The 17925-nt window shown below is 52.2% G+C and overlaps 1 protein-coding gene across 29 annotated transcripts in view; it reads right to left on the minus strand.

The window, feature by feature from the left end:
- WHRN (whirlin) overlaps window positions 1-17925 on the minus strand; it is a 103394-nt gene that overhangs the window by 64439 nt on the left and 21030 nt on the right. For all 29 annotated transcript variants that reach the window (XR_929757.3, XR_929750.4, XR_929749.3 and 26 more), the window contains one exon: window positions 12035-12253. Coding sequence is in view for 20 of the 29 variants with exons in the window: in XM_047423168.1 (XP_047279124.1) it covers window positions 12035-12253 (219 nt within the window). In the remaining 9 variants the exon portion in view is untranslated. The remainder of the gene's footprint in view (window positions 1-12034; window positions 12254-17925) is intronic.

A 17925-nucleotide genomic window follows, 5' to 3' on the forward strand; every position in this document is an offset into this window, starting at 1 on the left:
CAAGGCCTGGAAGATACCCTAGAACATTCCAGTTCCTGCCCCAGCTCTGCCTCTGACTTGATGGGTGACCTTGAGGAAGCCCCTCACCCCCTCTTGGTCACAGCTGCAAGTGTAGTGGGGGGAAGGTGCTGAGGGAGATGGCCTCCGGGATCCCCTCAGGGCCAACACCCGGGACTACTCAGACACTTTGCTCATGCTCTTCACGCCACAGTGGCCACGTTCACCTGAGGCTTCAGTCGGGGGGTGACTGTTCGCGCCCCGGGGTCTCAATTAGGCTCCATCTGCCCTCCTTAGGATCAAGGCTCAGGCCAGGTCACGGCAGCCACCACCCTGCTTCCCCAGGGGTCTCCTGTCACCTCAGGGGTCTCCCGTCACCTCAGGGGTCTGCCTCCCCAGGGGTCTCCTATCATCTCAGGGGTCTCCTGTCACCTCAGGGTCTCCTGTCTCCCCAAGGGTCTCCTGCCTCCCCAGAGTTCTCCTGTCACCCCAGGGGTCTCCTGTCACCTCAGGGGTATCCTGTCACCCCAGGGATCTCTTATCACCTCAGGGGTCTCCTGTCACCTAAGGGTCTCCTGTCACTTCAGGAGTCTCCTATTTCTCCTGGGGTCTCCTGCCTCCCCAGGGGTCTCCTATCACCTGGGGGGGTCTATTTCTCCTGACGTCTGCTGTCTCCCCAGGGGTCTTCTGCTCTGCCATCCATCCTGAGGGACCATGATGGTCCCTGGCTCTACATACATAGGGTGCACCCACTAAATGCAGTCCCGGTGCTGGGGCTTGGAGATGAGACAGACACAGTCCTGCTCCTGAGGGGCCCGCAGTCTAGTGGTACAGACAGTCAACAGGCCTTCACGGTACAGTGTGAGCAGCGCGTGACAAAGTGGCTCGAGGGCCACATGGGTACAGAGAAGGGGCAATGGTCCTGACTGGCGTGGGGGGGTGCTTCCTGGAGAAAGTGGCATCTCTGATGAGACGGGAGGGTGAGCGAGAGTCAGCCGGCGGGGGGGAAGGGAAAATGGAACATTCCAGAATATGGGACGGCTCAAGTCAGTGCTCAGGAGAGCAAGTCCCGCCCGGGAGGAGGTGAGTCGCAGTGGCCACAGCAGGTGCTGGGGGACAGGGTGGGGCTCACAAGGACACGCAAGGGGTGGCTGCGGGCAGATTCTAGAACGGTTCCTAATCCATGAGGGAAGCTGCAGGAACATGCAGGTTAAGTGTGTCTCCGGTATGAAAGAGGGATTCATGGAAAAGAAAGCAGGGGACCAGAATAGCTGAAACCTAGCCCAAAGAGACGAGAAACACCTGGCCACAAGACCCAGTGACAGGTAAGGGATCCAAAGAGAGCACAGTGTGACTGCCCACGGGACAGGGAGCGGTGGGAGAACCTTCAGGCACCAGGAAAGACACATTTCATTAGGGAAAGCCATCCAACCAGATTTCTATTTCGGAAGTTATTCGTCCAAGAGTTATCAAGTGTTCTGTGCCCTTTAAATGTGTTATCTCATTGAATTCTTCAACCACCTTGGGCAGAGGTGGTGAACAAGAGAGACTCAAGTCCCAGCTTCCCAGGGGAGGGCACAGCTGTGTGACCTTGAGCAAGTTACTTAACCTCTCTGTGCCTCAGCCTCCTCACCTGAAAATGAGGACAATAATATCTGCCTGTCTTATAAGGTTACCATGAAGAAGATCAAATTAAGAGACAAGTGAGAGCATGTGGCCACTCTCTGGCCCCTAGCAGATGCTCAGTAAGTATGAGCTACTGTTGGTTCTGTTGCACACATGACAAGTCTTGTTGGGAAACCTGACAATGTCACACAGTCGCAGCCAACTCATGGCCAAGTCAGACCTGGGTTCTGCCCACCTCTGGAACTCTGAACTCTTTAATTTGCTGCTTCTCTCTGGGACCCTATCTGGGACCACTGCTTGGGAACAAAAAGCGGTGGCTTTGCTCCTACTGGTTGCCAAATGATGTCAGGAAAGAGTCCAATAGACAGTGACTCTCCAGGGTTTCGTTCCAAGATGGCAGACTCTGCGGTTTGTCAGGGTGGTCTATCCCATGTGGGATGGTGCCAGGAGGGCACTGCTCTGTGGGATGGGCCCAGCTGCCTTAGTCCAGGACCAGCCCCAGTTTTCTCCTCAGACAGAATGACCACATTAGTAAGGAGGGCCCTGGTGAGGCCCACAGGGCTCTGCAGGAAGCAAGCAGGAGACCCACATGCAGCCACTGGTTAGACAGATGTTCTGGAAACAGCAGGCTCTGCGGACACTTGGGAACAGTAACCCAGCCCCCATGATCTGACCCATCCTGCCCCAGTGCTGTGCCAGCTCCAAGGCTTGAGCAGATCTGAGGGCACCTGGGTTCAAGGCCCACCCTGGTCCCTTGTCACAGGCAGCTTTGCATATTTGGGAGGAAACCACATGGTGGTTAATGCATGTTCAGGCTCCGGAGCCAGACTGCCAACTTGCTAGGTATGTGGCCCCGGCCAAGTTGCTTCACCTCTCTGTGCCTCAGTTTCTTCATCTAGAAAATGGGGAAACCAGTCACGCTCACTTCCTTGGGCTGCTGTGAGGGATGAATGGGTCCATTTGTGTAGAGTGCGTAGGGTCGTGGCTGGCACAGGGAAGCACTAGGAAACAGTGGCTGTCGTTATCCTCACAGTGGCATCTCAGCCAAGCCAGCAGGTGCGACCTGGAAAGCAGGTGTGGCCTTCCTCAGGGGAGATGATGACTGTGGGCTGCTGTGCAGGCTGGGACCACCATGTGGACGTGAGCCAGGCTGGAGTTCCATCTACAGGCTTTCGAGCCTGGAGTCTGTGCTAGGCCTTGTGCTGGGTCACTCCAGAAGCTCAGGAGTCACCGGGTGGTAAGAGAATGCTGAGAGGAAAGAACAAGGCCACCCAGGACGGGACACTGCTCCCCCTCCAGGACCAAGGCGCTCCTCCTCAGGGCAGCGAGTCTCTCCTCAAGAACTGCCCTAGGCCAAGGGAGCACCTCACCAGGGTCACAACCCTCCCTGGAGGCAGCTCTGTGGCTAGTGGCTGATGGCGGTGGGTAAAAGCCAGCCCCAGCCTCAATTCTGGACACCTCTGCAGGCCATCCCAGCTCCAGAGCTCCCTGTGGGACCTGCCGAGATCCGTGCTGAGAAGGCACGGCAGCCCTGCCCTGTGTCTCTCACTCCTTTGCCAGTGTTGACCCCAGGGCACTGCCGCCGCTGTAACAAATCACCACAGTCAGAGCCTAAGAGCAACATAGATTTGTTATCTGACAGTTTGGGAGGTTGGAAGTATAAAGTGTGCCAAAAGGACCACACTTCTCCTAGAGGCTCCAGAGGAGAACCCGCTTCCTTGCCTCTTCCAGCTTCTAGGGGCCACCTGCATTCCTTGGTTCATGGCCCCATCCTCCATCTTCAAGGCTGGCAGCACGGCATCTTCCAATCAGTTGCTCTCTGCTTTTTGCATCACGTCTCCCTTTCTCTGACCTCCTGATTACATCTTGCAAGGACCCCCGTGATGACACGGGGCCCACCCAGACAATCCCCCACGTCAAGACCATCACGTACTCACATCTGCAACATCCCTTTTGCTATATAAGGGTTCCACTCACAGGTTCCAGGGAGGAGGAGGTGGATACCTTCAGACTTGAGGATACACTTATAATCCTTTTTCAGGCAAATCTTTGTCTCAGAGTCTATTCCCAGGAGCCCAGCCAAAGGCAGAGCTCCCCAGAAATACGACCAATGAGACTTGAAGGCTGGGGCGGGGTGGGGAGGCAGCCAGGGACAGAAGAGGGAAGATGCCATTCCAGGAGCAACAGCATGTGCTAAGCCCACACACAGGACAGCGTGCAGCCCCGAAGAGTCACCACACGGGTCCTGTATGGCCAGAGCGTGGCAGGAGAGTGGGGGAAATGGCTGAGATTCACCTCCCTGGTGAGGGTGCCATGAGCCAGGCTAAGAGGCTGGGCTATGAGCAGGACAGTGACAGGCTCCAAAGTGGACTGCAGGAAGACTCCTGGAAACGGGAAGCAGGAGAGGGGTGACTTTGTAGAGATCCCCCATGAGAAGTGGTGGTCTTACGATGGTGGTGATGTAGGAGGAAGGTGGGGTTCAGATCAGGGACAGAACAGAGAGGCTGGCTGAGGACACAGTAGGCAGCTCCTGCCTTGATCCCCATTCCTGCCACGCCTGGCAGAGCCCCCACTCCATGCTGCACCTTAAGGCCTTGGAACAAGCCAGGCCCGGCCTGGGGTCTACACACCCAGGATCTAGCCCAGCTCCTTGGGTGACCTGCAGTCAGTCCCCCGCCCCACCCCACCCCGGGGCCCTTCCAGCTCCAGGACATGAAGATCCCAGCAGGGAGAGAGCCAAGAGAAGCTTGGGCATCTTTGCAGTCAAGCCCAGGAACACGCAGATGGCAGCCCATGTCTGCAGCAGCCCACTCTGAATACTAAGGATGAAAACAAACCTCCCCACCTCCCCGCCACCTCCCCATAAATTCTTTACATCAGAATAAAATGAGTCTTTATCACAGAACTGTAATAACAGTTCTATCAAGCACAGGGTAATCTGCCTCTATCACTTGCTGAAAATTCAACCACCATTTGGCATGAATCGGAATTCATCTATGGGAAAGCAAATGACACTGTGAGAAGCAGCCGGGCCCAGTGAAAATAACACCACTACTGCTAATAATATTAATAGAATAATAACTCAGGCAATTGGTCACCAAATGTACTGTTTCCTATGTCCCAGGCACCGTACTCAGCCCTTTATATGCATTACCTCATTGAATCCTCACTCCTCCTCTATGGTTTTGTTGTTATCCCCACTTTCCAGATGAGGAAACTGAGGCTCAACTCTCACTGAGGGATGAAATGATGGGGCTAAGATTCACATACCCAGCCACTTGGCTTGCCTGCAGTGCCTGGGCATTTAACCAATGCACCACACTGCCTCTCACCGGCCTGAGTTCAAGTCTTGGTTCTGCCCCTCACTCTTGGGCACCCTTGGGAAAAGCCCTGTTGCTTCTCGGATCTTCAGTTGCCCAGTCTATAAAAAGAATTGTGCAACCTGCCGGGGGCCAGCACTGCCTGTGGCCAAGCCAGCAGCCATCTCCCTTCCTGCCTTGCCACGGAGCCTCGACTAGGTCCAAGAGGCAGCCGGAGCAGCTCCAGGAGATGACACCAGCCTAGGTTATCCATTCCCTTATACCAGGAACTGGAATGCATGTAGGTAATTCTGGGCCAGTTTTGGCCAAGAGGCATGGTGGGGGATGTCTGCTAGGGGATTCTGGGTAAGATTCCCCACTCTGAAAAGACAGGAACACAGGAAGAGAAGGGCCTCCTGCTCCCTTCACCCACTCTGCTTTGGGCACGGTTGTGAGAGGCTGTGATGGCAGGTGCAGTGGCTGCCATCTTGCAGCTGTGAAGCAATGAGCCCAAGGCAAGAGCCAACAACAGGAAGGAGAGACTCACTCCCTAGCAAACCAGAGCTCGGGCTGCCCAGCCCTACACCTCTGAAGAGAACAGCGAACACCTGAATGTGTGTGCTCCTAAAATACAGGCTTTCTGTGATCCACAGCCAAAAGCACCCCTAACTGATAGCGCCATCCAGGGCTGTTGTGAGGATGAGGATGCGTGGGCTCCCAACTTCCACCCTTGCTCCTGCCATCTACCCTCCATCCAGTAGCCTGGACAGTCCGGCTGGAACCTCATATGCACCTGGTCCCTCCTCTGCTCAAAGCTCTGCCATGGCAGCCATCTCACTCAGAGGAAAGTCCCCAGACTCGGCCTGGTTGCCCATGCCTGCTGCCTCACTCCTCTGTAATCTCACAGGTCTTGCTGCTGCTCCTCAAGAGGCCCTGCTCACCTGCCTGAGGCCTCCAGCCACCTGGAGCACTCTGCCCAGATAGGACGGATCCGTGTATGATCATTTCCTTGTCAGCTTCAGATCCTTTCTTTTGTCACCTTCTTAGTGAGGCCGTCCCTGCCCCTTCTCTAACACTGCCCCACGCACACACCACCCTCCCATGCCCTTTCCTTGCTTGGTTCTCCCTCATTTTACAATAGACTGTATATTATTTCTTTTCATGCCCGTTACGGTCCCCCCACAACACACTAGAGCGTCAGCCCTTGACAGTGGCTAAGGTGTTGTCTGTTCTTTGTCTGTTCACTGCTGTATCCCCAGTACACACAGCAGGCCCATTATAGGTACTTGGTACATATTTTGGGGGAAAATACCAGTACCTAGTCAGCATTTAGTAACTGACGGTTGTTGCTGGAATTCATTACTATGTCCAGGCACTGTGCTCTGTGCTTATAAGCCTTGATTATTAATCCTCGAAACAGCCTCACATGGCTGGCATGACCATCCTCCAATCATGGATGCGGAAGCTTAAGTGACTCATCCAAGGTTAAGTGGCTTGCCCAAGGTCACACAGTCACGAAGTTTCAAAAACAAGCTTCAAACCCAGTGCTGCTGAGCCCAAAGCCCCTGCTCCTTGTGTTCCAGGCTTGTAGCAGCCTGAGCCGAAGGGCAGGTCCCATCTTGTTTCTGTGGCTGCTGGAGACACATGAGCTTGGCGGAGTGGCTGCTTCTGCTGCAGCAGGGTCTAACTGCTCACTGCAGAGTAAGGGGCCGTGGGACAGGGACACTGTAGTGGAATAAGACTTAGGAAGTTCTCAATAAAGCTCATGGGCAAATGACCGGGGAGGGGTGAAAGGGGCATCTGAGTTCTACAAATAGCTGTTCCTGCCCGCATCATTCCTCCGAGCAGATTCCAGATGCTGACCAAGATGACTGGTGCTGTGTGCAGGCAGGCTCTGCTGTCTCTCCTGGATGGAGCCACCACTGTGGCTGTGCGAGGGCCGGACCCAAAGAGCCAGAGCCAGGGGACACTGAAGGGACCAGGCATAAGCCTGAGATATGAGCCTGACCTGTCCCAGCCACTCTCTAGCTGTATGACCTGGGATAATTCATGCAGGCTCTCCAGGCCTCCATTTTCATCTCTGGAAAATCGGAATAATGACACTATCTGTAAGTATTTTATAGGACTTGCCTGCCAGTCAAATGACTCTACAAAACCACAGTGAAATCTGAAAACTGCAGTGAAGAGATAAGCCCCTGGGAAGCTGTGCTTCTATCACTCTGGATACTGGTTCATTGCCACATTAACAACCCCATCTCCAATAAATATGGGTGATAGAAGTGTAAGTGTGGTATGTGGAAGCAATAGAAGCAGGAGACGCAGGCCGCCTTCTGAAAGCCCATCTGTGAGTTTCTGTTGGATGCTCTGCAAGGGCCCCAGGCTGAGCCATGACACCTTCACAGTCAGAACTCAAGAACAGGTGATCAGTCCTGCAGCTCAGACTGGATCCTCTAGCCTGCAGGAGGCATGGAGAAGGGAAGGCGCCTGCCTCAGAGGAGGGTCTGGAAACATCATGCTTATTCCCTCCACCCCAAAGACCCCATGGCAACACACTCGCCCTCCCATCCTGATGCAGCCTCCTCCCCTGGGTCTTCCTTCCTTCTCTCCTGCCACCCCTGGCCCTGTAAGCTGACTCAACCCATCCTCCATTTCAAGCCATTTCAAAGAAATGAGTTCACCCCACTCAACTCAGGAACAATCTCATCCTGAATATGCACACAGGAGGGAGTACTGGAACCTTCCCCCAAGGTTCATTTTCCACCTTTGAAGTTCACCTTAACTAAAACAAGAAACATCATTACTGGCTCCAGAAGTTCTTTGTGTTTTTACTTAGCCATCCTCACCCCTCTTGAAAACGAGCTTTGCACACCTTCTTTTTCATGGTCTTGCTAAAGGTCTTTGCATACCTAGAATTGATTTTGCCTTCTTCCCTCGCCAGCTAAGAGAATGCCCAGCAAGTCTCTGTTGTCTACAGAAAAAAAGTGTCCCCCACCCACACACATTCCCAGCCCAGCATCTCAGCCTGCAGGAGCTAACTCCATTCTACTTCTCCAACCTTGTTTCACAGCCAAAGGAATCGCTTAGGAGCTGTCTTGCTCTCTCTAACCTCTGGATACTGTCATGCTGTACCCTCTGTCTGGGTCACCCTTCCCTTCCACTGCCACATGTCCAAACCTAAAATGCTGCCTCCTCCAGGAAGCCTTCCCCAATTTCTCTAGTGGGCAGGACCTCCCTTCTCTGCACACTACAGCACTCTCCCTGTCCCTTTCAGAGGACATGTATCACATTTATACCTCATAGAATGTGCCAGAACAAGTCCTGTGCCACAAACTTGCCTCCTCACACTGGGGAGGTGAAATAGGGGAATGGTTAGGATCAAGAGCTTAATAAGACGCAGAATTGACCTTGACCCTGGACACCGCCACGTCCCTGCTGTGACCTTCAGCACTGTCATCATGTTGCTAAGGCATCACATAAAGGCCCAAAGTGAAGACAGATCAGGAAAAAACTCATACTACCTCACACCCACGAGGACAGCTACTCTCAAAACAACAGAATAACAGGTGCTGGCCAGGATGTGGAGGAAGAGGAACCCTGGTGCACTGTTGGTGGGAATGTAACATGGTGCAGACACTAGGGAAAACTGTATGGTGGTTCCTCCAAAAATTAAAAATACAACCACCATATGCTCCAGCAAGCCCACTTTGGGGTATGTATCCAAAAAAATTAAAAGTAAGCAGAACCAAGGTTTGAACCCAGGCAGCCTGGGACCCAAGGTCTTACCATCCCTGCCACACTGATGCTATCCCACTTAGCCGCCCCCCATGACAAATTGATTCTAGTTTATGAGAGCTATAGAGGCTGCGGGTTAGAACAACATGGGAAGCCATACAGTGAGCACTCTGCACCCTGCCCCGTTCACTTCTGAGGATTTGACAGTGATTTAAGAGCAGCCACGTCTGACTCCCTAAGCACTACATCTGTTCTTCCCTCTGTACTTTGTCTTCAGCCTCACGGGACAGGTCTCATACCACGGCACAGAGAAGGACACTCCTGAAAAGGGCTATAAAACTATAACCAGCTCCAGGGGATGGCATAAGGATTTTCAGGGGTAACTTGGCTACATGTGTGATTTTTATGCTACTATTGCCCTGAGAACCCACTTCCTGAGAGGTATACTTCCTCTGTGGAGGTTATGGTTACGAGTCCAAGAGTCTGGCCGTGGCTTTTTGGACTATCAGAAGATGGGACCAGGCTGCTGGAGAGAAGAGAATCAGACCCCACCAGGCCCCTTACCCAGGATCCAGCAGCCAGGGATCCAGAGACATCAGCTCATGCCCCTTCCCAATAGGGAAATGGGGTTTCCACACTGTGTCAGGAAGAGGAGGAACAGGGAGGAGGGTAGATGCGCCAGTCTGGGGCTGTGGAATCTGGGACGGCCTGTCTCTGGGATGGTTCAGGGTGTCTCCTGCCTCCTTCGGTATCTGGGTCCTCCCTGGAGTATGATTCATGCAGCCTTCACCTCTGCATTATTTTATTCTTGAGACAGGAGCTCACTCTGTTGCTCAGGCTAGAGTACAATGGGGCAATCACAGCTCACTGAAGCCTGAATCTCCTGGGCTCAGGTGATCCTCCCATCTCAGCCTCCCAAGCAGCTGGGACCACAGACACATGCCATCATACCCGGCTAATTTTTTTAAAAATACTTGTAGAGACAGGGTCTCACTACGTTGCCTAGGCTGATCTCAAACTCCTGGGCTCAAGCAACCCTCCTGCCTCAGCCTCCCAAAGAGCTGGGATTACAGGTGTGAGCCACTGTGCCCAGCCCCACATTCTTATATGAGTTATTGAGACTCCCAGAGGCACCTTACCTAACCCCCACCCTCCCATCTGCTCAATCCTTGCAGACACTGGCCTCAGTCTTACTTCAGGGCCTTTGCACATGCTGTCCTTGCTGCTTGGGATTTTCAGTCCCCGAATGGCACATGGCAGCTCCTTCTCCCTCTCTAGGTCTCAGCTCGGAAGCCGTCTCCTCAGAGAAGTCCTCCCTGATCACCTCAATCAAAACAGCCCGTACCTCCCTGGCACTTTCTACCCGGCTCCTGATTTCACTTCCTCCCATCAGTTTGCACTGTCTTAATTATCTTGCTCACTGGTGCTCATTTTGGGATTATTGTCTCACTCTTCCCACCACCTCCAAACTCTGGATGCTTCCCAAGAGCAGGGCCCCAGTGCTCTTGTCCACTCCCATAACATCGTCAAGCACCCAGGTGCTCAGCAAACACTAGGAGACTTGCTGGCTGGGCTGTGGTTGCCACAGCGCTGAGCCTCAGGTTCCTCATCTGCAAAATGGGGATGATGACACCTACCTCCCAGTGTGGCTGCGAGGAGGACTCAGGAAGACACTGTGAGCACAGGGCTGGGCACACAAGGGCTCTCCATCAATGATAAGCTCAACTCACCCCATGCCCTGCATAGAAAAGGGACTGAGAAAAAGATAAAACAAGTTCTGTGCCCAACACTAGACAGCTGCCCTTGATCATGACTCAATAACCACTGGCAGCATTCTCTCAAGATTGTCAGAGAACAAGTTCCCTGGTGGGGAGAGGGTACGAGCCCACCCAGCCCTGGCAACCTTGACGCGGCCCGGGCTGCTGTGGTGCATACCAACAAGCTACCTGCTGCCGCTCACCTCCAATAGAAGCTGCTGTGATCTCTGCCGCGTCCTGCATATTGACGTTTCAGCAAAGAACACAAAACACATTAAATAAATGTTACAGTCTTATCGACAGGAAAAGGAGAGCTGAGAAAGAGTTTCCAGAGGCATGGCACTTGGCCCAGAGCCCCAAGCCATGTGGCCTCCTGGCAGTCAGTGTCAAGGTCCTACACACCAGGGAGCTGCCTGCAGGAGCTATGTTCTTGGTTCCAGGAGTAACCAAGGGGTGCAATGCAAACAGCACCCAGAGAGAAGGGTAAGATATCAGGGACCATTTCAGCCTTCCTGTGTTTCAAGAAACAGTACAGGTCTGGGGTCAGGAGGGCTCCATAGGGGACATCTATTGGTGTCCCTGCCCCCTTCTGCAAGTTAGAACACCCCACAGTGCTTTGGGCAACCACCCCTCTCCCACTGGCTACAGTCTTGGTGGTCTTGTCAATCAAAGTCCCTAGACATCCCTGCCAGCCCGTGAGGTGCTCCCTCTTTGGGAATCTTCAGGGGAAGGACACTGAGAACGGAATGGTGGACATCCCCCTACTGCAGGCTGCACCCTGAGATTCTCGGCTTCAATTCTGGGACTGCCCCTGTCCTTCCAGTACATCCCTGCTCTGTAAAATGGCCAGGGCTGGTTTCTGTTACTTATGCCCAAGATTCACACTGCACAAGATTCCCTGTGGAGCAGCAATCCTGGCCACATTCCTGGCAGCTATGTGTGGCCATGCACCTGGGTCTAGGCCAGTGGGAAGTTTGGTGATCTTGAAATTAAAGAGATGCCTCTCTTTCCCTTTCCTGGGAGGTAGAAAGGGGACCTGATGTGGCCCAGCTTCAACCACGAGAAGGGGCAAGACCCTGGGGGATGGAAGATGGAGGGAATCTGGGTCCCAGGATAAGTCCTGGAGCAGAACTGTCCCCCAGATGAGACTGTCCCTCTATTCTGTTACATGACGGAGAAAAAAAAAAACTCTCATTTAAATCACAGTATTCAGCCAGGCATGGTGGTGCACGCCTGTAATCCCAGCTACTCAGGAGGCTGAGGCACAAGAATTGCTTGAACCCTGGAGGCAGAGGTTGCAGCGAGCCAGGATCTCGTGACCGCATTCCAGCCTGGGCGACAGAGTGAGACTCTGTCTCCAAATAGATAAATAAGCCAATCAATAAATAAATCACAGTATTTAAGCTCTTTTATTGTGGCAGCTTAGCCTGTATTATAACATACACTACACAGGTCAAAAAGAAAAGCAAAGAAAAAACACCACCCTTCAGTACAGACTTGAGGGAAGACAGAGCCTGGACAGAACCAGCCTCTTCTTGCGGCCTCCAAGCAGCTCTGCTGTTCTGGGTTCGGAGGGAGAATACGGTGTCTGAGAGGCTGGCCTCCTTTCCCCACCCCACTCACCTTTTTCTCATCCCCTCCTTGCAGGAGGTGCAGGGTGCTCCTCCGGTCACCCTCCTGCTGCCTCAGGGCACCACCGTGGGGCTGGGGCAGGCCCGAGGGTGGGGAGATGCTGCGGCCCTGCGGGTCCACCCAGGTGTAGATGTGGTTGGTGACGTAGCCCCCAGGGATGCGCCCTGCTGAGTACACAGACAGCACCAGCTTCTTGGAGCCCTTCAGAGCCTAGGGAGAGAGGGATACAAAGGTTAGAGGAAGGGAGGTGCCGGGGGTGTGGAGGAACACCCTCCCCTGGCCCAGACCTTGGTTTTTCTCAGGAGCCCCACATGGAAGAAGAGGCCAGCCCTGAAGTCCCTTTCCTTCTCTAGCCCTCGATTTTGTCCTGTGAAAACAAGAACATCTGTCCCACCCCCATCCTGAAGTGGTCCAAATACAAGAAATATGATCTTTTAGGATACCTCTGCGGAGGAGTTTGCATTGCAGGCCTGACACTGTTATCCTCAGGAAGGCTCGTTTACAAGGCCGGCCTTTGGCTGGCATCTCGGAACTTGGATTTGGGGAGTGTCCCACCATTCCCTGACTGAGAAATGCGGCTCATGTGCTTAGACTGTCTGTAAACAGTAATGGTTTATGCTCAGCCTGCTTTCCTCCTGGGAGTCTGGAAGGTGGGTACAAGTAGACAGGGTCTATGTCTACCAGCCCCCAATAAAAACTGTGGGTGCTCTCTAATGAGCTCCCCTGATAGACAACATCCCACACCTTTGTCACCATTTGATGCTGGAGGAATTAGTGTGTTCTGTGGAACTCACAGGGAGGGGACCCGTGGAAGCCTGTGCCTGGTCTCCTCTGGACTCTGCCCAATGCACCCTTTCCCCGTGATCATTCTGCTCTGTATCCTTTGGATGTAATAAACCCTAGCCACAGGTACAACCATATGCTGAATCCTGTTAGCCTTTCTAGAGAATCACTGAACCCAGGTGTCATCTTGGGGACTCTGATAAAATACCAAGCACAGAGTCGACAGATAAAAACAATGATAGCAATCGCTTAACATTTATAAAGGGCTTGTATGTGTCGGCCACTCTGCGCTGCACCTGATATGCATTATCTCATGAAATCCTAATGAAATCCAATGGGGGAGGGGGACTGCAGAGGGGAAGGAGGATCTCATTTGTCAGATGAAGAAATGGAGGGAAACTGCCTGCCCACACAGTGAGTAAGAAGTTCCTTTCTCAGCCGGGCGTGGTGGCTCACGCCTGTAATCCCAGCACTTTGGGAGGCTGAGGCAGGCAGAGCACCTGAGACCAGGAGTTCAAAACCACCCTGGCCAACATGGCAAAATCCTGTCTCTACTAAAAATACAAAAATTAACTGGGCGTGGTGGTGGGCACCTGTAATCCCAGCTACTTGGGAGGCTGAGGCAAGAGAATCACTTGAACCCTGGAGGTGGAGGTTGCAGTGAGCTGAGATCGTGCCACTGCACTCCAGCCTGGGCAACAGAATGAGACTCCTTCTCAAAAAAATAGTAATAATTAATTAAAAAAAAAGAAGTTCCTTTTTTATAGCAACTAATTCTGAGTGTGGAACACCATCTTTATTGTACATTTCCCAGTCTTCAGATGGAACCACCGTGAGGAGAGGCAAGCCCAAAACTCTACAGCCTGGGGTGGAAGCTGAGGTCTGCCATATTGCTTCACCACAAGACGCTTGCAGCTGAGATGAAGACATTGACCCAAGGAGACACTCACTAAGCACTAGGATTAACAATAAACATAGCCTGTGTTAGGGACTGAATGTATTTCCCTCCAGATCCATACGCCGAAGCCCTATCCTCAATGTGATGGTACTTTGGAGATGAGGCCTTTAGGGGGTAACTGGAGTTAGATGAGGCCATGAGGGTAGGAACCTCATGATGGGATCAGTAGCTTTGTAGGAAGAGAGAGTTCTGGTCTCTCTTCATGTGGGGACACAATGAGAAGATGGAAGTTTTCAAGTCTGAAAGTGGGCCCTCACCAGAACCCGAGAACAATGGCACCCTGATCTCAGACTTCTGGACTCCAGAACTGTGAGAAATTAAATGTCTATTGCTAATGCCACCCAGTCTATGGTATTTTGTTATGGCAGCACCATCTGGCTGTTTGAATAAATGATAGAATTCACACACACTGAAATTTTATGCTGCCATTGAAATCCTATTTACAAAGGTTGTAATGCCATGGAAATGTGATATATTTTAATGTTAAGTGGGGTTAAAAGGCTATAAATCATGTCTTATAGTATGAAGTCAGTTATGTTAAGAGAAAAATCATACTGGAAAAACAAAATGAAACAAAACTGAGAAGTAATGTGCCAAGATGCTAGCAGTGCTTCTCTCTGGGTGCTAGGATTATGGGTGATTATTATTTTGCTCTTCCTGTTTCTCAATATTTTCTAAATGTTCCACAATGAGGTCACATTGCTTTCAATATCAGAGAAAAAAAAACAATATGCCTAAGAAGGGGGGTGAACACTTAGCTCTCTGCGTCCCCCAAGCTTGCCCCAATTTGCACATACAGCTCTACCAACTCCCCAACACTCTCAACAGACAAACTAGACCCTGGGCTGAGCTTTCAAAGACAGGAGGGAGCCCTGGCTAGGCAAGGCCTGCGGGAAGAGGCAAGTCCCTGACATTTGAGCCTCTCTCAGCAGAGGAAGGGTGAGCCAGGAGGCACCCAGGCCCTCAATTCTACAGCTAAATCCCAGTCTCCAGTGGAGGGATAACGAGGATGGCGTCTCTCCAAAATTCTGCTTTTATAAAAGATTTTTGTGAAGATGCACAGGGTAAGATTTACAGTATTCTTTTAGCATTCCCCAGGGCTCCCCTGGCAGAACAGTCAGGAAAATCAAATCCCTGTTAAGGTGAAGAGGCAGGATGGAGAAAGCCTGAGACCAAGTGGGCTTCCCCCAGAGCAAAGTGGAAAGTGGTTCAGGGCACAGGAGACGTCAGCAGAAGCCTCTGAGGCCACCACATCCTCCATGGCCCCTGTCTTCCTGACCTCTCTTTCCTCTCCCTCTCGTCTCTGCCTCCTGCTCCCTCTTCCATGAGGGCACAGCTCCCTGCTCCAGTGCTGTTCCGCCCGGCCTGCCTCCTTCTCTGCTCCTTCCTAGACAGACTGCAACACTACACCACAGCATTCATTCAACAAGGGCTGACCAAACGCCTACTGTGTGCCAAGCCTAGAGGAGACAAAGTGGGTCTATCCTCATGACAGGCTGCAGCCTGGTGAGAAACAAGGAGGCATCACCCAGCACACATCAGGTCCTCATGACACTTATGCCTGGTGAGGAACAAGGCATTGCCTGGCACACAGTAGGTCCTCATGACACTTGAGCCTCGTGAGAGACAAGGCATTGCCTGGTACACAATAGGTTTTCATGACACACGCCTGGTGAGAGACAAGGCATCGTGTGGCACACAGTAGGTCCTTATGACACTTGAGCCTGGTGAGGGATATAGCATTGTCCTGCGCACAGTAGGTATTTGTGAAACTTGTGCATAGTGAAGAGCAAAGCATAGCCAGGTCCATAGAAGGTCTTCACGACACATGCCTGGTGAGAGACAAGGCATCATCTGGTGCACAGTAGGTCCTCAATGATGCTTGCAGCCTGGTGAGAGATAAAGAATCATCCGGCACACAGTAGGTCCTGAAAAAAGACTGCCTGATTGATTAAGAAAGTAAATATTGCCCCCAAAAGAAACCGTTAACATCCACAGGCATTCTCCTGCACCCACATCTAGTCTGGAAGGTTATGCTCAGGTCAGGAACAGAGGAGTGCAAGTGGAAAAATCACACGTGGATTGTGGAGACAGAGAAAATGGGATTCCAGTCGCACTGGTGGGATTCCAGTCGGCTTACCAGTGGACAGTCCTTGGGCCGGTTGCTTCCCCTTGCAAAGCAGCATGTGTGAACTGGGGAGAAGGACAATGCTCACCTCCCAGGGCACCGTGGGTTAAATGAGACAATGTGCATAAAGTTCAGAGCCTTCTTGGCCACACAGTAGGAGCTCAGCAAATGGCAGAGCCCACTCCCCTCCCCCTCAGCATGTCTGCATGGAGATCGAAAACCATGCGGTAGCAAAACGTTGACCAAGGAGTTTAAAAAAAAAAAGGGAAGGAAAGAATAAAGAACAATGCGCAGAGCATCATTTGTATTCTTTATCACCAGCAACAGTAGAATCCTCTTGGTCAGTTCTATAAATAGGCCAGCAGCAACCTTGCGAACGGAGAGGTTAATGCCCTTGATGAGAACACCACAGAGAGCCAGCGCCGGAGAGGGCCTGGGCCAAGTCGCTGAGTCTCCCACAGGCTGCCCACCCCCAGTATTTTACAGAAGGGGACCCTGAAGCCCCAAGATGGGAAGGGAAACATAGGGTTCAGGAGTACAACAGGCACAGCCCAGGACGCAGGAGGCCAGCCCTGGGTCTCCTTCCCCTCTGCACCTCAGTTTCCCCATCACAGGACTCTGAGATTAGAAACTCAGACAGCCACTCAAGCGTAGACCATTCATCTACCTCTGATAATGACTATTCTTTAGGGATAAATATGGGCTTTTTCTGGGTGTTGGAGAGCAAGAAAATCATCATCCTCTACTGCTTTTTTATATTTCTGGCGAAACTGATGATAAACAAGATTCCTGAGACAGACTTTCAATATCTACGCAGGCTCTTGGGATATGGTCTTGGTGCAGTGGCCATCAGAATCCTGCAGGAACAGCTCCATCCATTGCTGTTTAATGCCACTAAAATGTGTGTGGGTCATGCAGGGAAGGGGAAGAGGACGGTCTCTGCTCCTACTGCCTTCTTGTCTCCATTTCTACAAACCATTGCTTGCTTATTTTAACGGGCATCATTCAACAGGAGAGTTATTTCCTAAACAAAGCTGGTCATGTTTTTTCCCCTGTAGCCACCCTGCCAGCCTTTCAAACTCACCCACCATTGCTACCTTGATCCCTGAGGCTCAGGCCACCTGGGGGATCGCGAGATCCTCACCCATGGTTACGTGCACCAGACCACTCATTTTACTTCTCTCACCAGAGCAGCCTACAGAGTGAGTAGCCTCAGGCAGCAGAGCTTGAGCCTGTGAGACAGAGACCCAGCAGGTCCCTGTTGTGCCATTAGCTTGGTGGGTGTCCTAGGGTTACTTCTCCCCTTGCTAGGTCTTGGTTTTGCCCTCTGGCAATGAGCAGGTTGGACCTGTTTGCTAAGATCCTGTCCCAAGTTAAACTTCTATGTCTTTCTGATTCAGGGCTGTATTTAGAAGGAAAGACTGTATTTGCTCTCATGGTGGTCACAGGTCATTAAAGCAGAGAGATCAGGGGCTCTGGGACACCCAGGGATAACTCCAGGCAGGCTGAGGGTTGCACCTATGGGCACCTGACTTCTGGGCCTGGAAAACTGTCCTCAGTTTCTCCCATCCCAGCAGTGAGCACTTGAGCTATGCTGGCTGGTGTTGCTACCAGGTCACTGAACCAGATCCAGAGCCTGGGGGCTCTGAGGTTCCACAGGGTTTAAGAAAACACCAGAAGGACAATTGGAGCATCTCAGTTATGGCAGGATACGCACCCCAACTCGGCACTATCAGCAGCAGCAGGAGATTTTGACAGGACTTGAAGGCCAGAGGGCTGCCCCTCCGAGGCCACGGCTGTGTCCTTGCTCTTTGTAGGAAGCTGCCTGCAGGTGGTAAGTCACATCCAACACATCCATCTGCACGCTAGTGACTCTCCATCAACCACACCCCTCTCTAGCCATGACAGCTCCACAGGATCCACCAGTCTTCCTGAATCAATGGCATATTAGCTGTGCCACCTCACACAAGTTACCAAACCTCTCTGTTCTTCTGTTTTCTCTCCTGCAAAATG

This window comes from Homo sapiens, chromosome 9 (assembly GCF_000001405.40).
Source record: "Homo sapiens chromosome 9, GRCh38.p14 Primary Assembly".
NCBI lineage: Eukaryota > Metazoa > Chordata > Mammalia > Primates > Hominidae > Homo > Homo sapiens.